Below are 22,945 nucleotides of genomic sequence, written 5' to 3' on the forward strand. Positions count from 1 at the left end.
AATTCAGACATTCAGCATGGGAAGGAGCACTGCATATAGGAGCTAAGAAAAAGTACACACTTTAGGCTGGGCGTGGTGGCTCACGCGTGTAATCCCAGCACTTTGGGAGGCTGAGGTGGGCAGATCATTTGAGGTAGGAGTTCGAGACCAGCCTGGCCAACATGATGAAACCCTGTCTCTACTAAACACACAACAAAATTAGCTGGGCGTGGTGGTGCACACCTGTAATCCCAGCTACTGGGGAGGCTGAGGCAGGAGAATCGCTTAAACCTGGGAGACCGAGGTTGCAATGAGTGGAGATTGCACCATTGCACTTCAGCCTGGGCGACAGAGAGTGAGACTCCGTCTCCAAAAAAAAAAAAAAAAACCAGAAAAATTATACTTTAATTGCTTTAGCAGCATCAATGTACTGTTTTGTATAAAGTAGGCAAATACCATCTTAGATTTTTAATCCAGTCTAAATCTTTTATTTTAACCTGAATAAATTTTGAAGAGGTAACTAAGCTTTCTGGGAAGCAAATGTTTAGCTGATATTAGAAAAATATAACCTATTGACACATCAAAGAAAAAACGGAAGAATACTTTTTTCATTAAAAATTTAAAATTATAACACATATGTATGTATTTCTATCAAAATTTAAATACAAAAAGAAAGCTGAAGACTCCCTTGACTTCCACTTATGACCCCAGTCTTCTCCTTAGGGGTGACTATTCTTAGCAATGTAAGTGTATATCCTTCCAAATCATGTTCCCTGCAATTATATATGTACATATCCATAAAACATACAGCTTTGTTTTGTGTTATTTAACTTACAGCCTGACAGATGGAAGATTATACATTAAAAGGGGGATTTTGTTAATTTTTCTTGGTAGATTCTTTTATTCTGATCTTGATTAACAGTAACTTAGCTGCACTTTCACACCAAACAGGTCTTGGAATCGGAAATGATGCTAGTTAAAATGGTGAATATAAAGTTGGATTTAGTAAAAGGTAACAATAACTTGTTATTAAAAAGTTTCAAAGGGATAAAGGCTTGAAACCTCAGCTATCCAGTTTCATATAAATTATTTACAAGTCTACGTGATAATTTGAGATGGGTCTTAAGAGAGGCAGAGGAATCCTAGGGAGGGGGAAGTGAGGCATGGACAGGCAGAGGGACTGCACTATTCAAGGGCATGATGGAGAGAAGTACGTGCCTGGATTTCCAATTTCCCTAAGGATAATTTTACACCAGATCTTCTTTATTTTAAAAATCCAATCCTTTTCCTTAATAACCCCATCTGTCCCTGATACCACCATTTTTTTCTACCAGTCTCTCAGGCTAGAAATTTTGTGGTTATCTTTGCCTCTTCTCTCCTTCATCCTGTAAATCCTACCTGTTGGGAATACATTACTGTCCTTTCTTCAAAATGTTTTATCTGTCTTTTCTTTTTCATTCTCTGCTATTAACTATAACTTCATTCTCAGTTCCACTGCTGCCTAGCTTTCTGTGCCCTGCTAGATTCATCATTATTCATCCAACAAACATAAAAGGAAAAAATTGGCCTGGCGCGGTGGCTCACGCCTGTAATCCCAGCACTTTGGGAGGCCGAGGCGGGCGGATCATGAGGTCAGGAGATCAAGACCATCCTGGCTAACATGGTGAAACCCCGTCTCCACTAAAAATACAAAAAAAAAAAAAAATTAGCCAGCGTGGCGGTGGGCGCCTGTAGTCCCAGCTACTCAGGAGGCTGAGGCAGGAGAATGGCATCAACCCAGGAGGCGGAGCTTGCAGTAAGCCAAGATCGCGCCACTGCACTCCAGCCTGGGAGACAGCGAGACTCCGTCTCAAAGAAAAAAAAAAAAAAAAAAAGGAAAAAATTGTTTTTTCTCACACATTTCTGACACCAAATGTGTGGGTTTTCCACACTAAGCAGTTCTCCAGTTCTCTGCAGATACAAACTGGGTGTCCTGCAATTCAGTTATGACACTGACTACCAGGGTTAGCACAGACCCCACAGCTCAAGGGCTCAGTCGCACAAGACTGTTCCCTACTTCAGATGCCAGTTCCAAGTCTTGGGTGCCCAGGGCACCCACACTTCTGTCCAACTTGGCTACCAACCAGGGGGTTCCCATGGCCCCCTCCTCAGGTTCAATAATGTTATAAAGGCTCACAGGACTCAGGGAAACGTTACTTATGTAAAGGATACAAATCAACAGCAACATGAAGAGGTACACAGGGCCATGTCTGGAATGTCCCCACTGCAGGAGCTTCTGTTCCCCTGGAATTTGGAGGGTACCACCCTACCCATACATGGATGCATTCACCAACCTGGAAGCTCTCTGAACTCTCCCCATACTCCAGCCATCAGTTAGGGTTTGTATAGAGGTTCCATTATGAGGGCATGACTGATTGCTGATTAAACTCAATCTTCAGCCCCTTTCCAATCTCCAGAGGTCAAAGGGTGGGACTGAAAGTTCCAAATTTCTAATTATGGCTTGGTCTTTTTGGTGACTAGTCCCCACCTTGAAGCTACCCAGAAGCCCATTAAGAGTGTCCTAGTTAGAACAAAAGATGCTCCTATCACTCAGGAATTTGCGACATTCAGGAGCTCTGTGTTGGGAACCAGGCAAAGAGACCAAATATATTTACTGTCACAAGCCCTTATTTCTCATTATTTACAAATGTAGTTTGTCCTCATGACCCCCTTACACACAGTTCCACTTCCTGCCTTGGGTGAAGCCACCCCCTCTTTATCTGAAATGGCCTTATCCAACTCCTATCCAGCCTTCTCTGTTCCCACATCAAGACTGTCTGTCTGCCAGGCACGGTGGCTCACGCCTGTAATCCCAGCACTTTAGGAGGCCGAGGTGGGCTGATCACATGAGGTCGGGAGTTCGAGACCAGCCTGACCAACATGGCAAAACCCTGTCTCTACTAAATATACAAAAATCAGCTAGGTGAGGTGGTGCATGCCTGTAATCCCAGCTACTTGGTAGGCTGAGGCAGGAAAATTGCTTGAACCTGGTAAGCAGAGGTTGTAGTGAGCCAAGATCGCGCCACTGTATGCCAGCCTGGGCAACAAGAGCAAAACTCTGTTTCAAAAAAAAAACAAACAAAAAAACAAATAAACAAACAAGATTGTCCTTGGTTTCCTTGAACTCCTACTGCAACAACACATGATTTACTTTGTTTTGTTTTTTTTTTTGTCATTTATTGACTGGTTCTAGGAAAGGAAAATGTAGAAATGGAATACTGAGCTTATAGCAAAACAAAAAAGACATAGGGTACAAAGGAGATTTGAATCTGCTCTACTTGGGAGAAATCAATGAAAAAAAATATTCCAAGAAATAAAAAAATTCAACTTTGTTTTTTTAAAAGAACCCTCTGCATAAAGTTCAGAGATCTTGCCTGCAGGAACAAAAAACACATAATAGAAAAATTGATTTACTTAGAATATAGACTATAGTTCATAATAAAAGCAGTCCTTATTTGGTAAACCTTCAATACGAGTACATCACCCTTGGTTATTTCTTTGCTCTTTCTCTCTTGGCATAAAAGAAAAAAAAAATTCATGCAAAATCCTACTAAGGCCCAATATGTACAAAATATCTTTTAAAAGTCCTATGTTGATATATTTGTGATAATGACAAACGATAAAAGAAGTCATACTACTGACAACCTTTGAAATTTTCATTTGTCATCTTTCACATTTTCCTCTAGCCTAGAAGCAAATCAGAAGAATTACGTCTGATAGACTTTCTCCAAGAATAATAATCAAGAGAAATAGCAATTCATAATAAACAAAGCATTTTCTTAGTTTTTAATGAAGAAAACTAAGAAAGTAATTTCAAAATTATTCAATAGAAAATCTTTAAAGATAAATGGACTACACACTGGTAGAGAAATGAGTTGTTCTGGCTAACACATTAATCTCTTAAACACCAAAGTCTTCAAACCTCTTTTGATGGAAAACTGTTTAAAATGTTATTTCAGGTCTTCGGAGTTGGGTGTAGGGGAAAAAGGTTATTTCATTTCCTTAGCAATTAGAATAAATGGACCTCTAGAGATATCATCTATGCTGAGTTTTATATGCAAAGCTGTTTGAATATGTATTTTTCTAGGAAGAAGGTAGGTCTTCTAATAGCTTTTAACAGAAATTTCAAAGGTATCTATGATCCAAAGTATTAGGAAGCATTGTGTCAATGGCATGAAGTGGTTCTCAATCAGCGCTTACAATTAAAAGCCTAAGATACAATTTGTAACTTTTTGCATAAATAAATCCCAGACAACAATGATTAAGGTGGGTGCTGGAATCAGATGCCCAGAATCTGAACCTCAACTCCACTACGTACTAGCTGTGTCACCCTGCCAAAGGACACTTCACTCCTCAACCTTAGTAGCCACATTTGGAAATCAGGGACAACAGTGTATTGCATGAGGCATAAAAGCAATGATACATGAAAAGTTCTTACATGCATTGTTGCTATAAGGCATAGAACTGATGATGCATGAAAAGTTCTTAATAAAATGCCTGGCACACACAGAGCTGAATAAATGTTAGCCTTTGCTAATATCTGACCTTGGTGAAGGCAGTTGACCTCAAGTGAAGGCAGAATGTGTGTGGCTGCAGAATCTTCTAGGTGTAGTTGCCTTTTTGTAAAGATAATCGGAAGGTCTTGAGTAGCTCCTTCTCCTAGTTTGTCTTCTTGTCCTTAATAAAGCCTTTCCTGCCTTTAACAGTAGTATTTCACATATTAACAATTCCGACTTGATAGTGAACACTTGAATCTGTATTAATTTCTGCCTCTGGAAAGGGGAAAATATTGATTCATTTGAATAACTAGTCAGTTTTAGACAGCGGCATTAGATTTAAGACTGTTCATGGTTATATTGGGGGAAGGACTTGGGGTAGAGCTGCTTCACTTTTCATTTTGTAACTTTCGTTACTATTTGATTATGTGAATCATGCATGTGTATTTTATGGGTTGCTGAGTACAAAATTTATGGGCTATTTATGAATCAATGTGCTCTAAAGTGATACTAGAGATTTTTCTCTTTATTACTTACATTGTAAAAGCCTAATTATTGGGTAAAATAAATAGAAAAGAAGAACAGTCACGTGGCAGAGACTAGTGTCTAGGATTTTTTCAACATCTACAGGTTAGTATTTTAGTTTTTAATGGTTACAGAACCCTTAGTATTTTTAACATAAGTAAATAAAAACCGATTTTCCTAAGCACTCTGAATTATTAACAGCGGTAAACCTAATTTCTTCCCACTATATGCCAAAAGTTCAGGCTCAATTTTTATTTCTTGTACTTAAACACTACAAGTTGTACTGAACTTTAATATATATTGGTGCTTAGGATCCAATTTTTGATGCCCTAATTCTTACAAAGTATACTTTGGATAATGAGTGAGCAGCTGTTTGTCTTCCTGCACGTGGGGCTTTACTGCCAAAAGCAAACTTGCTAAATGGATTCATACACGCAAGTGACAGAAAGACTGAAATCTGATGTACAGATCACTACCATTACCAAGCGTCTTCATTTTCTAGTATACTTTGGGAGAAAAGACGCATTTGGCTTCCATGAAATAAAAAGGCATAAGGGCAACACATTTCCGTATTTAAATAAGATGTATTAAAAACAACAACCTCGGGGCTAAGTGCTTTTAAAAGACACACAAATTACCTATCCTCTGACTGAACTTTCAGAAAAGTCCTAAATTAAATTCACCTACAAAGGTTATATTTTATCTGTGGCAGCAGATGCAGACACACAGCCACTTAAAAATATTAGAAACTGTGAGTTTATTAAAAGTTACCTAAGTTTTGATGGTTGTCAATTGAGCACAGCAAAATAAGTCAGAAACATTTTTTCCCCCAGTGAAGGCAGAGAAATATCTCATTTTAAATCAGTATCAGTGCTTTCTATAGTCTTCCCTTAAGCGCTAAACAATGACATCCCAGAGGCTGAGGGCGTCTTTAACACTGCATTGACTCCGGTCTTCCCTTGCATTATGTCATCAAGATTCCACTGTTTCCTTCTGGCATTTTGACTTTTAAAAACTAGTTACTGGATTAATATAGGGTACACTTTTTTGGGTACTAATATTTGTAATTAAAAGACTTAGGGTCAATGTATGAGAGAACTCCATCTACGGTCCATCAACTATATGTAAATTATGATAATTTTAGAAAATTTTATGATAGTAGCATCAGTGATAGGGAATTTTAATAGTTTTAATATCAAGACAACTGGGGGGGGGCAGACTGGAAGAGAAAGTTAATTGACTCCTACCATCAATAAATTGCTATTATCAATCTGTACTTTCCCTCCAAACTGACTTTAAAACAATAAACTTCCTTCTAAAAAGGTAGACTGGTCTCAGGCAGAACCATAGCAAATGAAATACAGATAATTTACTCTGGGAAAGTTAATAGAACAATCTTTGATAATATTTCCAAACCCACCAGAACTTTTGAACCAGTCTTCTCAAATCAGTCGCATATTCTCACACTATGCCCCTTTGCTGGAAATATTTTTAAGGCCTCACTTAAACTTCCCTTCAGATCCTTTAGCTTACCCTTTCAAATCCTTAACACAGACAAATCTAACGGCCTCAGGTACATGTAGTAACTGGGAAAAGAAAAGCACAAAAACAGTGTGTATTATTAAATATTTACTTGGAAAAAGTACACATCAGCCACCAAGTCTTATAACCATCTGTTTCCCTTAGAGATTATTGCTAGATTGTTGCTTTGCTTCAACCTCAAGAATTTTAATTTAGAAAACTCAGGGATAAGGTTGTTCTTGAGGGAAAATGAGATACAGAAAGCTGAAGGTTGGTAAAAGGGTGGAGAGAGGCAGATGAGGTTTTTTTTTTTGGCAAAGAACCAATGGGAGAGAAGACAGGTTAGTGGGGAGAGGTAAGAAGAACGTGTTAAAATATGTTTAAGAGGGAAAGACAGAATTTCATAGGGATTATCCAAAGCATTTAAAAAAATCTCAATCACCTAATATATTCTGTGTTTCTAAGACTAGAGTGGGACTACAAAGGTTAACAATTTCTTAGACGTTAAAAAAGCTTTAAGAAAGAAGACCTGTCTCTCTTACAATGCACATTCTCTGCAAACAAGGGTGATAAATGGGTAGATAGATCTGGGGATGTCTTGAACACAAAGCATGGAAGGCTATAGTACCCAAATTTTGCTGATCATCTGTTTAGTATACTGTTTATTAAGCAAACTAAAATATTTAAGGGCTTTCATAGCTATGTAATCTTCCCCAATCCAGAAAGCCTTTCAAATTCCTGAAGATAATAAATTTGTCACTTTGTAGAGGCCAATTTTCTTTGATGTTCTATCAATGCTTGCAACAGTTTACTAGTAACAATTCAGTTTCTCCCTGTTTATATGCTGGGGGTTAATAGCATGTTTTTTTGTAAATGGGATAAACGGAACAGAAAATTGTATCTTACACTCTAGTACAAGCAAGTGCTACAGTAACAGTGCTTTGGTATGGCTGACCCAATTTGTTGCTAGGTTCAATATTTTGGCATTAAAACTGCTGTGGCAACAAGAGAAAGAGGACTCACAAACTATGGTAAACGAGTTGCTTCAGTGAGTTTGCGGAGCTGCGACTTATAAAAACAGGAGAGAGCTGGGCATCTGAAGAATCGAAGAAAAAGGATTTCAGAGACCAAATCATCCTGCAGAAAACCACATACACTGATTTATCTGTACACCTTTTAAAGGACTGGCAAATGCTGCCAGCAAGATAGTAAAAAATAAACTTGATGTCCGTTTTAAGAAAACGATGCAACTCAATATTTGCTAAACATTGCCTGAACTTCCTCCAACATCCTTATTTGCCTTTCTTTGGAGTCTGAACTTGTTTTCCTGGTTTGGATAATAAGGGAGTGGTAGGAAGAAGGCAGGCAAATGTAGGAGACTGACGGTGTGTACATTTTATACAATTTTGAAGCTAGAAAGGAAATCAGAGGTCAAAGTGGTTCAAACATTGGTTTTGGCTGAGGCAACCAGAGCTAGGGGATAATTAAGCTCCAAAGTTAAGTCCTAGAAGTGGGCGGGGTCAATGCAAATTTAGTAAATCTTTAAAAACAACCTTTGTCCCCCCTGCTGGGAACACCAGCACCGCTCAAGTTTTTTCCGGTACAGAGAGGATTTCTAAAAATCCTCATAAGTCAGCGGGCATAACTGAAAGACCACAGAACCAGGTTTACTGAGACATGGGTCTAGCCCAACATCCTCTGTGCTTCTCAGCCAATCCACCTCCAACAAGACTCCTCGCCTCCCTGGGCTCTTTATTCCATATAATTTTTCTTTTTTACAGTAGACAAAAGTGGTTTGTCCTTTCCATTTTATGTTACTAAAGAGGTATGATGCAATGTATTGGGGGGAAAAAAGCTCTTATTTGCTCGAAGAAAGCAATCTGACTACAGAGGCCAAATCTACAGACATTAAATGATTTAAACCACAGGATAACCCAGTGACTACCAAACATTATCTGACCCCTTTCTTCACGTACTATATTTTTCCTGAAGCTCAAATTCAGGGCTAGCCAGGACCAGTACACACCCCCAGAGCTATTTCATTCCATTGGCTGGCTGGCCATCCGCAGCCTACAACCTGTAAATTTACTGTCAGGACGCCAGGTGTTTATTTGTCAGAGATATTACATTGCTTGTGATTTTTTTGTGTTTTTCCTTTTTTTTGGTATAAAACAGAACTTGTCAGAATGGGAAAATTACTTAATTGAAACGATTAACGCGTGATTAGTAAATTCCTTTGGTTAATAAAACTGTCTAGATTTCAAACTTAGAAGCCAAGTCATTTTCTATGTTCGGATATCATCTGTCACTATTGGAACAGGAGTGAACAAATACCAGAAAATAATTTGACAGCTTGCATTTAGGGGAGACTCACAAAAGCCCAAGAACACTGACGAGGCATTATCACACGGGCAGGTCATTCCCTTTCCTAGAAGTGCATTTCGGCAGGACCCGCCGTGTGTGACACAGACACCGGGACCAAAAGGAGACCGGTGCAGCGTCTACTCTGCATGCAAGATCAGCATATACAGAGGCCCGGGGTGACGGCGCGGGGGAGGGGGCAGGCCAATCGCATGATGATTTTAAGGCGGAAAAATCACCATCCACAGAGCCGGCCACATCCGAGGCGGGGTGACCCGGGCGGGGACCCGGCCCGCTCCAGCTGGGCTGGGCTGGGCTGAGCAGCGGCCCCGCACCGGCAGGAGGCCGGAGGGGAGGGCCGCAGGGGAGGCAGGGAGGGCGGGACGGGGCCCGGCCGACGCTCACCTCCCTTGCAGGGCGTGCGGTGCTGGCTGTGCTGGGCCCGGTAGCCTTCGATGACCTCCCAGGAGCCGTCGTCGCGCCGGATGGGGAAGGAGAGACTCAGCACATGGTTGCAGGGCTTGATGATCCGCAGGATGCCGCGCACCCGGTTCCGCTTCTGCTCCTCGCTCTCCCGGGTCCTCAGGTCCTCCACCAGCTTGTCCTCCACGATGCTGGCGCCGCGATCGAAGAAGCCCTCCACCATCTTGAAGAAGTTGGGGTCGTCCTCGCGGTCGGCCACCGCCTCGCTGTAGTGGCGCCGGGCGGCCAATGCCAGCCCCGGCTGCGGGGCGGCGGCGGGCTGTCCCCGGGCCCAGCCCAGCAACGCGGCCGAGTCGGCGGACGCCGAGCCCAGGGCAGCGGGCCCGGCCCGGGACAGCAACAGCGCTTCGCCCAGGTAGCGGTACATGGCCACAAGCGGAGGGGAGGTGCGTGATGGTCGCGAAACAGGCGCGCTTTCTCAGACTCCCCGCGACTAGGGAGGAAGGGTCCCGCGCGGGTTGCCCTTTTAAGCCGCAGCTTCCTGCTTGCCCGGCTGTCCCCTCCCCTCGGGCGCTCGCCACCTAACGGGGAGGACGGACTTCGGGGACAGGGCGCCGCCCAGGGCGCCGGGCCTCCGCCTCCGCCGCGGCCTCCCCGGGCCTCGCTGGCGGCAGCGCGCGCCGGCGGGGCGTCGGGGGCGCGCAGGCGCGGGCGGGCTCGGCGCGCACGCTCGCGCGCCAGTGGGGAAGGGAGGGGAGGGGAGAGGAAGGGCGGGGAGGAGAGTGGAGGGGAACGGACGGGAGGGGCAGGGAGGGGAAGGTCGGGGCGGGTCGGGGCGGGTCGGGGCGGGCCCACGGGCGGCCGGATTTGCCCGGAGGCCGCACCCGCCTCCGGCGGGGCTCTCAGGTATGTGCGCCGCGGGGGTCCCTCAGGGGGGTTGGGGGTAGCCCAGGGAGGTCGGGGTCGGGGGCTGGCCTCTGTAGGGCGCTCAGAGGCCGAGTCCCCCCGAGCGCCGCGTGGGTGAGGCTTGGCGGTCTGGTCGGGGACCGGGTCATGTGAGTCACGGGCGCCCCTCCTTTCCGCCCGCGCGCCCTCGGAACGGGCGGCCCACCCTGGCCTGTCCTCTGGCGGCCTCAGGCCGGGGCCGGGCGTGCAGGGGCTGACACGTGGGCAGGAAAGCGAGGCAGAGCCGCCGCCGCGTAAGGCCGGGCTGAGGGCTCGGCGTCACCAGCCAGGGCTGCAGAGAGCGGCGTGGCACCCGGAGTTGGATTATGCGTGGCTGGCGTGAGCTGGAAGGGAGTCACTCGCCCACAAGCTCTCACCACGCGAGCTTTTATTGTCCCGTTCAACTGCTCCGCAGTGTGGAGATCGCATAGTTACGCACGTCGTGGTTGTGTCGCCCCACAGTACTGACTGCTTCACCTTTGCAGACAGAGGCTCCGGCCCGGCGCGGTGGCTCACGCCTTTAGTCCTAGCACTTTGGGAGGTCGAGGCTGGAGGATGGCTTGAGCCCAGGAGTTCGAGGCTGCAGTGAGCTACGATAGCTCCACTGCACCCCAGCCTGGGCAACAGAGGGAGACCCTATCTCCCTCTGAAATAGTCTAAAATAAGGAAACTAGAAATGCGATAATGCCCCCAGGAAATTCTTTCTCAGGAATATATGTATTTGTTAAATGGTTCAGTATATGATTTATTTTTTATTTTATTTATTTATTTGAGATGGAATCTTGCTCTGTCGCCCAGGCGGGAGTGTAGTGGCACCATCTCGGCTCACTGCAGCTTCCACCTCCCTGGGTTCGTTCTAGCGATTCTCCTGCCTCAGCCTCGGGGTAGCTGGGATTACAGGCCCGCGCCACCACGCCCGGCTAATTTTTGCATTTTTAGTAGAGACGGGGTTTCGCTGTGCTGGCCAGGCTGGTCTCCAACGCCTGACCTCAAGTGATCCGCCCGCCTAGGCCTCCCAGAATGCTGGGATTACAGACGTGAGCCACCGCGCCTGGCCTCAGTATATGATTTATAAGCTTTATGCTGTATGAGGGTTCAGTTATGTATTTATACATACTTGATAGGAAATGCTAAAGTTCACATTCCTATGGATAGCTTTTGGTGCTTTTCAAACTAACGAGGCTGGCACGGTGGCTCACGCCTGTAATCCCAGCACTTTGGGGGCCAAAGCAGGCTGATCGCTTGAGGCCAGGAGTTCAAGACCAGCCTGGGCTCGTCTCTATAAAAAGAAAATAAAAAATAAAGCTCTAATGACAGTCATTAAAACTAGCTGCCAAACACCACATTACTAGCGTTAGCGGTCTCAGTGTACTTGGGTGGTTTTAAAATGACACCCATTGGACCTGCAAAACGATGGTGCTTCCCGATATGTTCATGTTATTCATCTTTTAGAATATGGAAGAGAAAGTTCTTAGTTCTCGAAATATTGTGTAAAATATAAGGTGACAACCTGGATCTGTTAAATGACATTCATCTAAGTGTACTCTCAAAGTCAAAATTATCTTTTCATACAGGTGGAACTTATATTTTACCTTACTTGCTAAATAAGTCATTGTCATTAATTGTATTTGCACTGTGTTTTTCAGTGAAAAATGTACTCTGACCTGAATCCTGAATTTTCCTTGATGGTCAAAAGATTAAGGTATCAAATTTCCTTTTTTCTGGATGTATTATCGTTTTACTCTCTTACATTGCAATCCCCCACTCCTGCAAAAAACCCACGGAGTTTCAGAATAAAATGATTAGCATCAGTAAACATGGAAATATTTTTCTTTTTGGATTAAATTATTTGTTTATGTTCTGAGGAAAAATCTTTAAAAGCTTAGTTTTATTGTTTTTGTTGTTCTTTATAACCTTAGCCTTCAGAAAAATAAATGTTTAACTTTGCTTCTTCTGTGACTTGTTCACCTGAATTCAAGAAGGTGGAATTGGGCCTAAGGAGGTGGCTCACGCCTGTAATCCCAGCACTTTAGGAGGCTAAAGTGGGCGGATCACTTGAGGTCAGGAGTTCGAGACCAGCCTGGGCAACACAGTGAAACCTTGTCTCTACTAAAAATACAAAAATAAGCCAAGCGTGGTGGGGGGCCTACAAAAATTAGCCAGGCGTGGTGGCGGGGAGGGGGTTGGGCAGTGCTTGTAGTTCCAGCTACTTGGGAGAACCACTTGAACCAGGGAGAGAGGTTGCAGTGAGCCGAGATCGTGCCATTGCACTCCAGCCTGGGCAACAGAGCGAGTCTTCATCTCAAAAAAGGAAAGGCAGAATTGAAGAAGCTTTGGAAGAGGTGAGGAATAGAGCTGTGGAAATTACTATTTTTTTTTTAATTGAGAATCTCCTGTGTGTAGGTGCCTTACAAACTGGCTTCATGAGTACCCTATAAAACAGATGTTTTTATTTTTAAAATCATCATGGTTTTGTTTTGTTTTGTTTTTTTGAGACAGTCTTGCTCTGTTGCCCATGCTGGAGTGCAGTGGTGCAATCTCAGCTCACTGCAGCCTCTGCCTCCCAGGTTCCAGTGATTCTCCTGCCTCAGCCTCCCGAGCAGCTGGGATTACAGGCGCCCGCCACCATGCCAGGCTAATTTTTTTGTATTTTTAATAGAGACGAAGTTCCACAGTGTTGGCCAGGCTGTTCTCAAACTCCTGGCCTCAAATGATCTGCCCGCCTTGGCCACCGAAAGTGCTGGGATTACAGGTGTTGAGCCACTGCACCTGGTCATTATGTTTTAAAATTACATACAAGTTGTTAAAAAAATATGAACAGCAGAAATAGATTTTAGAAAAACAGAATGAAATTATCCATCTCTTCCCCCATTTAGTGAATATTTGGAGTATTTCTTTTCACACTGTAGGTATTATAATTCCTGATTTATTAGAAGCAGGGAGTGGCTGGGCGTGGTGGCTCATACCTGTAATCCCAGCACTTTGGGAGGCTGAGGCGGGCGGATCACCTGAGGTTGGGAGTTCGAGACCAGCCTGACCAACATGGAGAAACCCCATCTGTACTAAAAATACAAAATTAGCCTGGTGTGATGGTGAATCCCTGTAATCCCAGCTACTCAGGAGGCTGAGGCAGGAGAATTGCTTGAACCTGGGAGGCGGAGGTTTCAGTGAGCTGAGATTGCGCCATTGCACTCCAGCCTGGGTAACAAGAATGAAACTCCATCTCAAAAAAAAAAAAAAAAACAGGGAGTGAGGCCCACAGAAACCAAACAAATTGTTGATGATCACCAAGCTTGTAAATAGGGTAAGATTCAAACCTGTGTATCTGACTCCAAAGTTATACTATTTATACTATTCCAAGGAGTATTTTAAGTATTTGTTCCATTTAGTTAGAAATTATTTACTGTGATATAAAGTCTAATGAATTTCAACTTTAGATTTATGATTGCTTTTGTAAAATATACAGATAATTTGCAAAGTAAGGTTTTTTTTTATTTTTATTTTTCGAGACAGGGTCTCACTGTGTCACCCAGGCTGGAGTGCGGTGGCACGATCACAGTTTACCACAGCCTGGACTTCCTGGGCTCAGGCAATCCTCCCACCTCAGCCTCCTGAGTAGCTAGGACTATAGGCACCTGCCGCCACTCCCGGCTAACTTTTGTCTTTTTGGTAGAGGTGGGGTTTCACTATGTTGCCCAGGCTGGTCTCGAACTCCTGGGCTCAAGCGATATGCCCGCCTCTGCCTCCCACAGTGCTGGGATTCCAAGTGTGAGCCACCATGCCTCACACAATAAAGTTTAATTATTTGTAGTAATTTCCCATTCAAACGAAGACCAAAATTCAGCTTGAAGGGAACATTCAATAGCATTCCACAAAGTCAAATGAGTTTTCTGCCTTAGAGTTTTCCTTAGCTGGTTTAAAATTCCAGGTCTGTTTTTCTTGATCCATAGCATGCTTTTTTCTCTCTTAAAAATATTTTAGAAGAAGATTGTTAGGATTTAGAAAAACATAGCATATAAATTCTTGAACCATTCATTTTTAAAAATAATTTAATTTGAAAGGTAAAAATATACTTTCTACTTTCTGTCTCACTAAATCAGTCTATTCTGGACTTTTCCTATAAAAGATGTATGTGGCCCTTTGTGACCGTCTTCTTTCACTTGGCAGAGTATTTTAAAGGTTTATGCGTGTAGCATGTATCAGGTACTTCATTTCTTGTTATGGCTACATAGTTTTTGTTGTATGACTGTACCACATTTTAAAAATCTATTCATCATTGATGGACACTTGGATTATTTCCACTTTTTGACTATTCTGAATGATGCTGCGGTGAACTTTTGTGTGTGCATATGTTTTCAGTTCTCTTGGGTGCGTTTATACCTAGGAATGGTACTTCCATATTTAAATTTTTGAGGTACTGCCAAACTTTTCCACAGTGGCTACACCATTTTAATTCTTACCAGCAGTGAATGAAGGTTCCAATTTCTCTACTTCTTCACCAACACTTGTTATGTGTGTTTTTTATTATAATCATCCTAGTGGGTATGAAGTATTTATTTGCAGTTCCTTGATGACTAATAAAATTTAGCATCTTTCATGTGCTTATGGACCATTTTTATGTCTTATTTGGAGAAATGTCTATTCAGATCCTTTGCCCATTTTTAAGTCAGGTTGTCTTTTATTATTGATTTGTAAGAGTTTTTTTTTAATATGTTCTAGATGTAAGTTCCTTACCAGATTTGAAAATGTTTTCATCCATTCTTTAGGTTATATTTTCCCATTTTTCATAGTGACTTTGAAGCACAAAAGTTTTTAATTTTGATGAAGTCCAATTTATAAATGTTTTCTTTCGATACTTATGCTTTTGGTATCATATGTAAGAAATCATTGTCTAATTGGACTTCATGAAGATTTACTCCTTTGTTTTCTTCTAAGAGTTTCATAGGTTTAGCTTTTACATTTAGGTTTTTATCCATTTTGTGTTACTTTTTCCGAGAAAAGGATCCAGTTTCATTCTTTTGCACGTGGCTATCCAGTTCATTTGCTCAAAAGACTATTTCTTTCCCATTGAATTGTCTTCACACTCTATGAAAAATAAATTGACCTAAATGTGAAAGTTTATATCTGGACGCCAGTTCAGTTCATCCATATGTCTATCCTTATATCAGTATACATTGTCTTGATTACGCCAGTTTTTTTTTTTTTTTCGAAATGGAGTCTCACTCTGTTGCCCAGGCTGGAGTGCAATAGCGCGATCTTGGCTCACTGCAACCTCTGCCTTCCAGGTTCAAGCAATTCTCCTGCTCCAGCCTCCTGAGTAGCTGGGATTACAGGTGCGTGCCACTACGCCCAGCTAATTTTTGTATTTTCAGTAGAGATGGGGTTTTATCATGTTAGTCAGGCTGATCTCGAACTCCTTGACCCAGGTGATCCGCCCGCCTCGGCCTCCCAAAGTGCTGGGATTACAGGCATGAGCCACTGTGCCAGGCCGATTACTCTAGCTTTGTAGTAAATTTTGAAATTGGGAAATGTGAGTCTTCCAAATTTTTTTTTTCCAAGATTGGTTATTCTATCTCCATATGAATTAGGATCATGTTTCCAATTTCTGCAAAGAAGTCAGCTGGAATTTTGATAGGGATTATGTTGAATCTGTAGATCAATTTGGGAATTAGTGTCATTTTAACAATATTACATCTTCTGATTCATTAACATGGGATATCTTTCTGTATATGTAGGTCTTTTAAAACTTCTCTCAGGACTGTTTTATCACTGTCAGAGGATAAGTTTTGCACTTCTTAAAACCAAGTAAGCTAAGTTAGCAATTCCCAAAAATTATATGAGATGGTAACTCCCGAAATTCTGTGGCATAACAAGATTATTTCCTTAATGGCAAGCATATTCTGGCCCCAGAATAATTTAGAATCAAGTATAGAATTCAAGAGAATCAAGGCTGCAGCAGTAATACTTTGAGTCTATACCCTTGTGTATATTTGGCTTAAATGTTTTAGGAGAATTGGCCTTTGAAAATTTAAGATATTTGTTATTTCAAAATAAAATGTGTAATCAACTAATACAAAGCAAGTTTTGTACTTTTTGTTGAATTTATTACTAAGTATTCTTTTTGATGCAATTGTAAGTAGAAATATTTATTTATTAAGAGATAGGGTCTTACTGTGTGGCCCAGTATGGCCTTGAACTCCTGGGCTTAAGACATCCTCCTGCTGCAGCCTCCTGAGTAACTGAGATTACAGGTGTGCACCACCTCGCCTGGCTCAGAATGGTTTTCTTAACTTCATTTTTAGATTGTTCACTGTGAATATATCGAATTACAATAGTTTAGGCTGGGCATGGTGGCTCACGCCTGTAATCCTAGCACTTGGGGAGGCTGAGGTGGGTGGATAACTTGAGGCCAGGAGTTTCAGATCAGCCTGGCCATCACAGAGAAACCTTGTCTTTACCAAAATCACAACAAATTAATTAGCTGGTTGTGGTGGTGCATGCTTGCAATCCCAGCTACTGGGGAGGCTGAGGTACGAGAATTACCTGAACCCAGGAGGTGGAGGTTGCAGTGAACCGAGATAGTTCCACTGCACTCCAGCCTGGGCGACAGAACGGTTTTTGTATGCTTCAACCTTACTGAACTCATTTATTCATTCTGATATTTACTTTAGTGGATTCTGTATGATTTTCTATATGCAAGATGCTGTCATTTGCAAATAGAGATAGTTTTTCTTTTTTTGTTTCCAATCTGAATGTGTTTTATTTCATTTTCTTGCCTAATGCTCCTCATTAGTTTTCAATGTTGCATAGTATTTTATTGCATGGACGCACCATAATTACTTTTACCAATCTCTTATTGATGGACATGAAGGTTATTTCCAAACTCTTGTGGTTATAACAATGCTGTAATAGATAACCTATTACAAAGAACAGTTCTCAACTCTTTTGGTCTTGGGACTACTTTACCTATTTATGTATAAGTTTCAAGTTTGGGCTTAGAAAGAATTTAATAATCATGCTAATTTTGTTTTGTTTTCTTTTTTTTTACTCCTGGACCCAAGCGGTCTTCCCACCTCAACCTCCCAAGTAGCTGAGACTACAAGGGTGAACCATCACCCTGGGTAATTTTTAAATTGTTGGCTGGGCACAGTGGCTCACGCCTGTAATCCTAGCACTTTGGGAGGCTGAGACAGGCAGATTACCTGAGGTTGGGAGTTCAAGACCAGCCTGGCCAACATGGTGAAACCCTGTCTCTACTAAAAACACAAAAAATGAGCCAGGTGCAGTGGTGCGTGCCTGTAATCCCAGCTACTCAGGAGGCTGAGGCAGGAGAATTGCTTGAATTCAGGAGGTGGATGTTGCGGTGAGCTGAGATCGTGCCACTGAACTCCAGCCTGGGCGACAGAGCAAGATTTCATTTCAAAAAACAAAAAGAAAAAAATTTTTAAAAATTGTTTTGAAGAGATACGGTTTCCCTATGTTGCCTAGGCTGGTCTCATGCGATTCTCCTGCCTTGGCCTCCCAAAGTGTTGGGATTATAGACATGAGACACCACAAATTTAAACAAGGACTTTTTTTATTTTTTAAAGAGATTACTTTTTCTGAGTAAACAAGGACTTTTAAAACAAGGTACTAAAAATCTGGCTGGGCGTGGTGGCTCGCTCCTGTAATCCCAGCACTTTGGGAGGCTGAGGTGGGCGGATCACGAGGTCAAGAGATCAAGACCATTCTGGCCAACATAGTGAAACCCCGTCTCTGCTAAAAATACAAAAATTAGCTAGGTGTGGTGGTGCACGCCTGTAGTCCCAGCTGCTCAGGAGGCTAAGGCAGGAGAATCACTTGAACCCGGGAGGCAGAGGTTGTAGTGAGCCGAGATCTCACCACTGCACTCCAGCCTGGCAACAGAGTGAGATTCCGTCTCAAAAAAAAAATTTTTTTTAATAAATAAATAAATAAAAATCTTGAAATTTTTATTAGGTCCTGGTGTTTCTAATTTTAATATGATTTAGTTCTCAAGTGCTAGTTAATACTTCATTAATCAGCCAGATGGAAGTGGGGATACTATGGAAACAGCATAGGCAAAGCTTAAAGATAAATGAGACCATGGTTTGAAAATATAGGGTGGCATGCGCTTTGGTTCAAGGCAATTTGATCATCACAACAATTTGGCTTAAACAGCACTTTGGTTGAAAATGAATATCCCCTAGTTATGTGTTTTTCAAGTATTGGTCATTTTGGTATATCATGAGTTGTTTTGCAAACTTTTGTGCCAAAGTTTTCAGGAAAACTTTCTAATATTTGCTTTTGTGTTTCTAACTGATTTTCAGAGAAGTTGTAATTTTGATGTTTTTTCCTTTTAGTGAGCATGCTTTAACAAAAAACAATAACAGAAACTGTGTCAAAGAAAAGGACCTGTAATCTTCAGGGTTTGTAGTCTTTTTCCTCTTAAAAAACCCTTTTCCTAATTAATGGCAGTTACATCTGCATGGCTGGTTTGGGTAAGTCTTCATTTTGTTGTATTGCTGAGTAACAGTCAACAAAGGTTTATCAACTCTTGGTTAAGGGTTCCTTTCATGTTGTGAGTAAACATGAACAATATAGGATCTTATCCTTTTAAGCTATCATGCAAGAAACATGTGAGGTCTCTTAAAAATTCACTGTGCTGGCCGGGCATGGTGGCTCACGCTTGTAATCCTAGCACTTTGGGAGGCTGAGGTGGGTGGATCACTTGAGGTCAGGAGTTCAAGACCAGCCTGGCCAACATGGTGAAACCCCGTCTCTACAAAAATACAAAAATCAGCCGGGCATGATGGCGGGCAGGTGCTTGTAATCCCAGCTACTTGGGAGGCTGAGACAGGAGACTCGCTTGAACCCGGGAGGCGGAGGTTGTAGTGAGCCGAGATTGTGCCACTGCACTCCAGCCTGGATGACAGAGCAAGACTCCATCTCAAAAAAGAAAAAAAAAAAAAAATTGTGCTGGCTGGGCTCAGTGGCTCACACCTGTAATCCCAGCACTTTGGGAGGCCGAGGCGGGTGGATCACCTGAGGTCAGGAGTTCAAGACCAGCCTGGCCAACATGGTGAAACCCCATCTCTACAAAAATACAAAAATTAGCCAGGCATAATGGCGAGTGCCTGTAATCCAAGCTACTTGGGAGGCTGAGGCAGGAGAATCGCTTGAACCCGGGAGTGAGCCGAGATGGCGCCACTGCACTCTAGCTTGGGTGACAACAGCAAGATTCTGTCTCAGAAAAAAAAAAAAAATTAACTGTGCTTATAAATGGGAGCTAAATTAGGAAAAAAATAAAAAGTAAAAAGAAAATGAAAATAAAAATTTAAAAAATATATTAACAAATTAACTGTACTAAGGTAGGATTCTTTTTTTTTTTCTTGAGACGGAGTCTTGCTCTGTCGCCCAGGCTGGAGAGGAGTGGCACAATCTCGGCTCGCTGCAACCTCCACTTCCCGGGTTCAAGTGATTCTCCTGCTTCAGCCTCCCGAGTAGCTGGGATTACAGGTGCCTGCCACCACGCCCGCCTAATTTTTGTACTTTCAGTAGAGATGAGGTTTCACCATGTTGGCCAGGCTGCTCTTGAACTCCTGACCTTGTGATCCGCCTGCCTCCGCCTCCCAGTGTTGGGATTATAGGTGTGAGCCACCACACCCAGCCACTAAGGTAGGATTCTGATCTCACCTGTATGTTATTTATTATGCCTCTCTTAATCTTTATTTTAAAATAGAGGTCAGGTTTTTTGTTTTCTTTATATATAAAGTATGGCACATTCAGTTGTTCATCATTCAAGATGCCTTGCCATTCAGCTCTGTTTAATGATGTGGACCACCCTCTAGAAAAGAAAATCTTTATCCTATCTTGAGCATTTTGGTTTTGAAAGTTTTAGATCAATTGTAATTTCGGTATGGTGTTAGAGGATAATAAGAAGGGAAGTGTAAGGTAAAAATTGGGGCACATCTATAATGCTGTTAAAAACAGACATAACTGAAAAATACACCAGAGAAGCAAAAAGTACCTTCTCCTTGACCATTCTAGAGGTGTTGCAGAAGAAACAGACTTTAGGTGAAGCATATATGTGAGTATAATTATGTTGCGCTTGCTTCTTAATGAAAGACATGTCAATGAAGGACTAGGCACAAGGTAGAGACGCTGATAATGTTGAGTCAGCTCAGGAAATTGGACCTGAAGTAAGAAGATAGAGATTCCTTAGGATGCCTTGACCCTCGAGTAGCAATATCCAAATAAAAATGGCTTAAAGGAAAGCCATAAACCAAGATAACATTATCTAACAAGAAGTCTGAAGGCAGGGCTTTTCCATTGACAGTCCAAGGACTCAATGATACCATCAGATACCTACTCTGCTCTTCTCTCTGTTACACATTCAGCCAGTTTGTGATATCTTTCCTAAGGGTTTTAAAAGGGCTTCAGCAGTTCCAGAGGTCACATGTAGCCATAACTAAGTTCTATGGAGAAACAGCAGTTTCCTCCTGTGCATATCCCGGTATTAGTGAAGAAACCTTTTCCAAAGGCCTGCCAGCTACCTTCAACTCTCTTAGACCCCAGTAGCTAGGATTGGGTTGGTTACATGCCACGCCCTGGCTGTAAGGGAGGCTACAAGGAAGACTTACTGGCACTTTTTGGCCTCTGAAGTACAGGCAGACTGTGCCAGCCAGGAAGAAAGGTAGAAAAGGAATAATTGGTTTTGTTTGTTTGTTTGTTTTGAGACGGAGTCTTGCTCTTGTTGCCCAGGCTGGAGTGCAGTGGTGGGATCTCGGCTCACTGGAACCTCCGCCTCCTGGGTTCAAGTGATTCTCCTGCCTCAGCCTCCCCAGTAGCTGGGATTACAGGCACCTGCTACCATGGCTGACTAATTTTTTGTATTTTTAGTAGAGACGGGGTTTCACCATGTTGGCCAGGCTGGTCTTGAACTCCTGATCTCAGGTGATCCACCCGCCTCAGCCTCCCAAAGTGTTGGGATTATAGGCATGAGCCACTGTTCCCGGCCAGAAGGAATAATTGTTAGACAACTCACAGTGTCTGCCATATTTGCCACAGAAAATAACTGACTTGCTCTCTGCTGTCTTACTGTGATAATATATTTTTTTAACGCAATTTACAAAAGGGGGGGAACATTCTTAAATTTGAAACTAGGAATTATGATATTTGCAGTTTCATATTGTATACAGTAAACAGTCTTCAAATTCTAGTTCTCCTTGAGATCTTATACAATGATAACAGTTTTAAAATTATGCCTTCTGTTTTTTGAACAGCTTTTTACTATTGACAGCTTTTAAGGAAGTAGTTTTCATGTTGTCGTGTTTACTCTCTTACTAGACAGGAAGACAGAACAGAAATCCATCCTCAACTTCTGGGGATAATCTGAGGATTATAATGAAATATCAGATGCTTAAATGATTTCAACAGACTTTTAGATGAAGTTGCCATTAGCACCTTGTTATCATCAATGTAACACATAGGCAAGTGGATTAAAATAAGAGGGCTAAACTGGCCTTTATGTTGAAATTAGAAGTTTCGTTGTCCTACAGGCAGAAATGACAGTTTCATTGGATTCTCTATGTTATAGTAATATATCAGAAGGATAGCTTGAGATGAGACTATTTTGAAGATACATGGGGTGGATATTCAAAGTGCCTTTTACATAGTTACTGTCCTCCACAGTTTCCCCATTAAATGTGGAATCCTTGTGATTGCATTCTTGGAGGGCCATCGAAAACTAGTGAAGCACAGAGAGACTATTTTTTTTCTATAGATATTAATCTAAAGCAATAATTGGCAAAAAAAAAAAAAAGAGATTTAAAATGTAGGATAAAGGCCAGGTGCAGTGGCTCATGCCTGTATTCCCAGCACTTTGGGAGGCTGAGGCAGGTGGATCACCAGAGGTCAGAAGTTCAGGACTAGTCTGGCCAACATGGTGAAACTCCATCTCTGCTAAAACTACAAAAACTTAGCTGGGCGTGGTAGTGCGCCCTTGTAATCCCAGCTACTGGGGAGGCTGAGGCAGGAGAATTGCTTGAACCTGGGAGGCAGAGGTTGCAGTGAGCCGAGGTCTTGCCACTGCACTCCAGCCTGGGCAACAAGAGGGAAACTCCTTCTCAAAAAAAAGAAAAGAAAAAAGAAAATAATATGGTGCTGTGCTATGGGATAATGGGGAATACCTACTTTATATAGGGTGTTCAGAGAAGGCCTTGAAAAGAAGAAACATTTAAACTGAAATTAAAGGCTGAGTTGAAGCAACCTATTAAAGAGCTGTGGGAAAGGCATCCTAAGTGAAGGAAATGGCGTGTGGAAAAACTGTGATACAGAAAAGACCTTGACATGTTTTAGGAATGGACAGAAATCCAGTGTGACTGTGGTTGTCCTAGTGGAGAATGTTGTGATTTTGGACAGGTGGATAAGCAGTCAGATCATATAGGCAAGTGCTTTACATTTTTACCTTTTGTGCAGTGGAAAACCCAATTGGAAGTATAGTAGGCATAAATTTTGTAGACTACATACTTAAATATACAAAGATGTAATTTTCTTTCTTTCTTTCTTTTTTTTTTATTTTTAGAGATGACTTTTTGTTTGTTTGTTTTTTGTTTTTTGAGGCAGTCTCACTCTGTCACCAGGCTGGAGTGCAGTGG

At 42.3% G+C, this 22,945-nt stretch overlaps 2 protein-coding genes across 41 annotated transcripts in view, besides 7 other annotated features; one reads left to right on the forward strand and one right to left on the reverse strand.

The window, feature by feature from the left end:
- GLUD1 (glutamate dehydrogenase 1) overlaps positions 1 to 9,845 on the reverse strand; it is a 44,642-nt gene extending 34,797 nt beyond the window's left edge. For 2 of the 9 annotated variants that reach the window (NM_005271.5, NM_001318906.2), the window contains exon 1: positions 9,327 to 9,845. In NM_005271.5, the coding sequence (NP_005262.1) occupies positions 9,327 to 9,771 (445 nt within the window). In that variant the 5' untranslated portion in view covers positions 9,772 to 9,845. Of the gene's footprint in view, positions 1 to 4,563; positions 6,626 to 7,583; positions 7,657 to 8,934; positions 9,090 to 9,326 lie in introns of those variants that run through there. The other 7 variants (NM_001318905.2, NM_001318901.1, NM_001318902.1 and 4 more) reach the window with 7 other exon arrangements.
- Positions 7,857 to 8,394: an enhancer, noted in NCBI's record as "NANOG hESC enhancer chr10:88852612-88853149 (GRCh37/hg19 assembly coordinates)". NCBI's record gives its function as "activates a minimal SCP1, AML or CMV promoter by ChIP-STARR-seq in naive H9 embryonic stem cells {active_cell/tissue: H9 hESC(naive)}" and the evidence as "EXISTENCE:reporter gene assay evidence [ECO:0000049][PMID:30033119]".
- Positions 9,079 to 9,418: a silencer, noted in NCBI's record as "silent region_2576". NCBI's record gives its function as "represses an Ori minimal core promoter by ATAC-STARR-seq in GM12878 lymphoblastoid cells {active_cell/tissue: GM12878}" and the evidence as "EXISTENCE:reporter gene assay evidence [ECO:0000049][PMID:35858748]".
- SHLD2 (shieldin complex subunit 2) overlaps positions 9,475 to 22,945 on the forward strand; it is a 96,993-nt gene continuing 83,522 nt past the window's right edge. For 15 of the 32 annotated variants that reach the window (NR_165108.1, NR_165105.1, NM_001377159.1 and 12 more), the window contains exons 1-2: positions 10,208 to 10,250; positions 11,936 to 11,991. The gene's annotated coding sequence lies outside the window, so the exon portion shown is untranslated. Of the gene's footprint in view, positions 9,791 to 10,207; positions 10,251 to 11,935; positions 11,992 to 15,574; positions 15,623 to 18,649; positions 18,716 to 19,683; positions 19,965 to 22,945 lie in introns of those variants that run through there. The other 17 variants (XM_047425370.1, XM_047425371.1, XM_047425374.1 and 14 more) reach the window with 5 other exon arrangements.
- Positions 9,619 to 9,758: a silencer, noted in NCBI's record as "silent region_2577". NCBI's record gives its function as "represses an Ori minimal core promoter by ATAC-STARR-seq in GM12878 lymphoblastoid cells {active_cell/tissue: GM12878}" and the evidence as "EXISTENCE:reporter gene assay evidence [ECO:0000049][PMID:35858748]".
- Positions 9,879 to 10,578: a silencer, noted in NCBI's record as "silent region_2578". NCBI's record gives its function as "represses an Ori minimal core promoter by ATAC-STARR-seq in GM12878 lymphoblastoid cells {active_cell/tissue: GM12878}" and the evidence as "EXISTENCE:reporter gene assay evidence [ECO:0000049][PMID:35858748]".
- Positions 9,879 to 10,756: a biological region, named in NCBI's record as "ReSE screen-validated silencer GRCh37_chr10:88855254-88855511".
- Positions 10,499 to 10,756: a silencer, noted in NCBI's record as "fragment chr10:88855254-88855511 (GRCh37/hg19 assembly coordinates)". NCBI's record gives its function as "represses an EF-1alpha promoter that drives an FKBP-Casp9 reporter gene in an ReSE screen in phorbol 12-myristate 13-acetate-treated (for megakaryocytic differentiation) K562 erythroleukemia cells {active_cell/tissue: K562(+PMA)}" and the evidence as "EXISTENCE:reporter gene assay evidence [ECO:0000049][PMID:32094911]".
- Positions 10,799 to 10,858: an enhancer, noted in NCBI's record as "active region_3705". NCBI's record gives its function as "activates an Ori minimal core promoter by ATAC-STARR-seq in GM12878 lymphoblastoid cells {active_cell/tissue: GM12878}" and the evidence as "EXISTENCE:reporter gene assay evidence [ECO:0000049][PMID:35858748]".

This window comes from Homo sapiens, chromosome 10, assembly GCF_000001405.40.
Source record: "Homo sapiens chromosome 10, GRCh38.p14 Primary Assembly".
Lineage (NCBI taxonomy): Eukaryota > Metazoa > Chordata > Mammalia > Primates > Hominidae > Homo > Homo sapiens.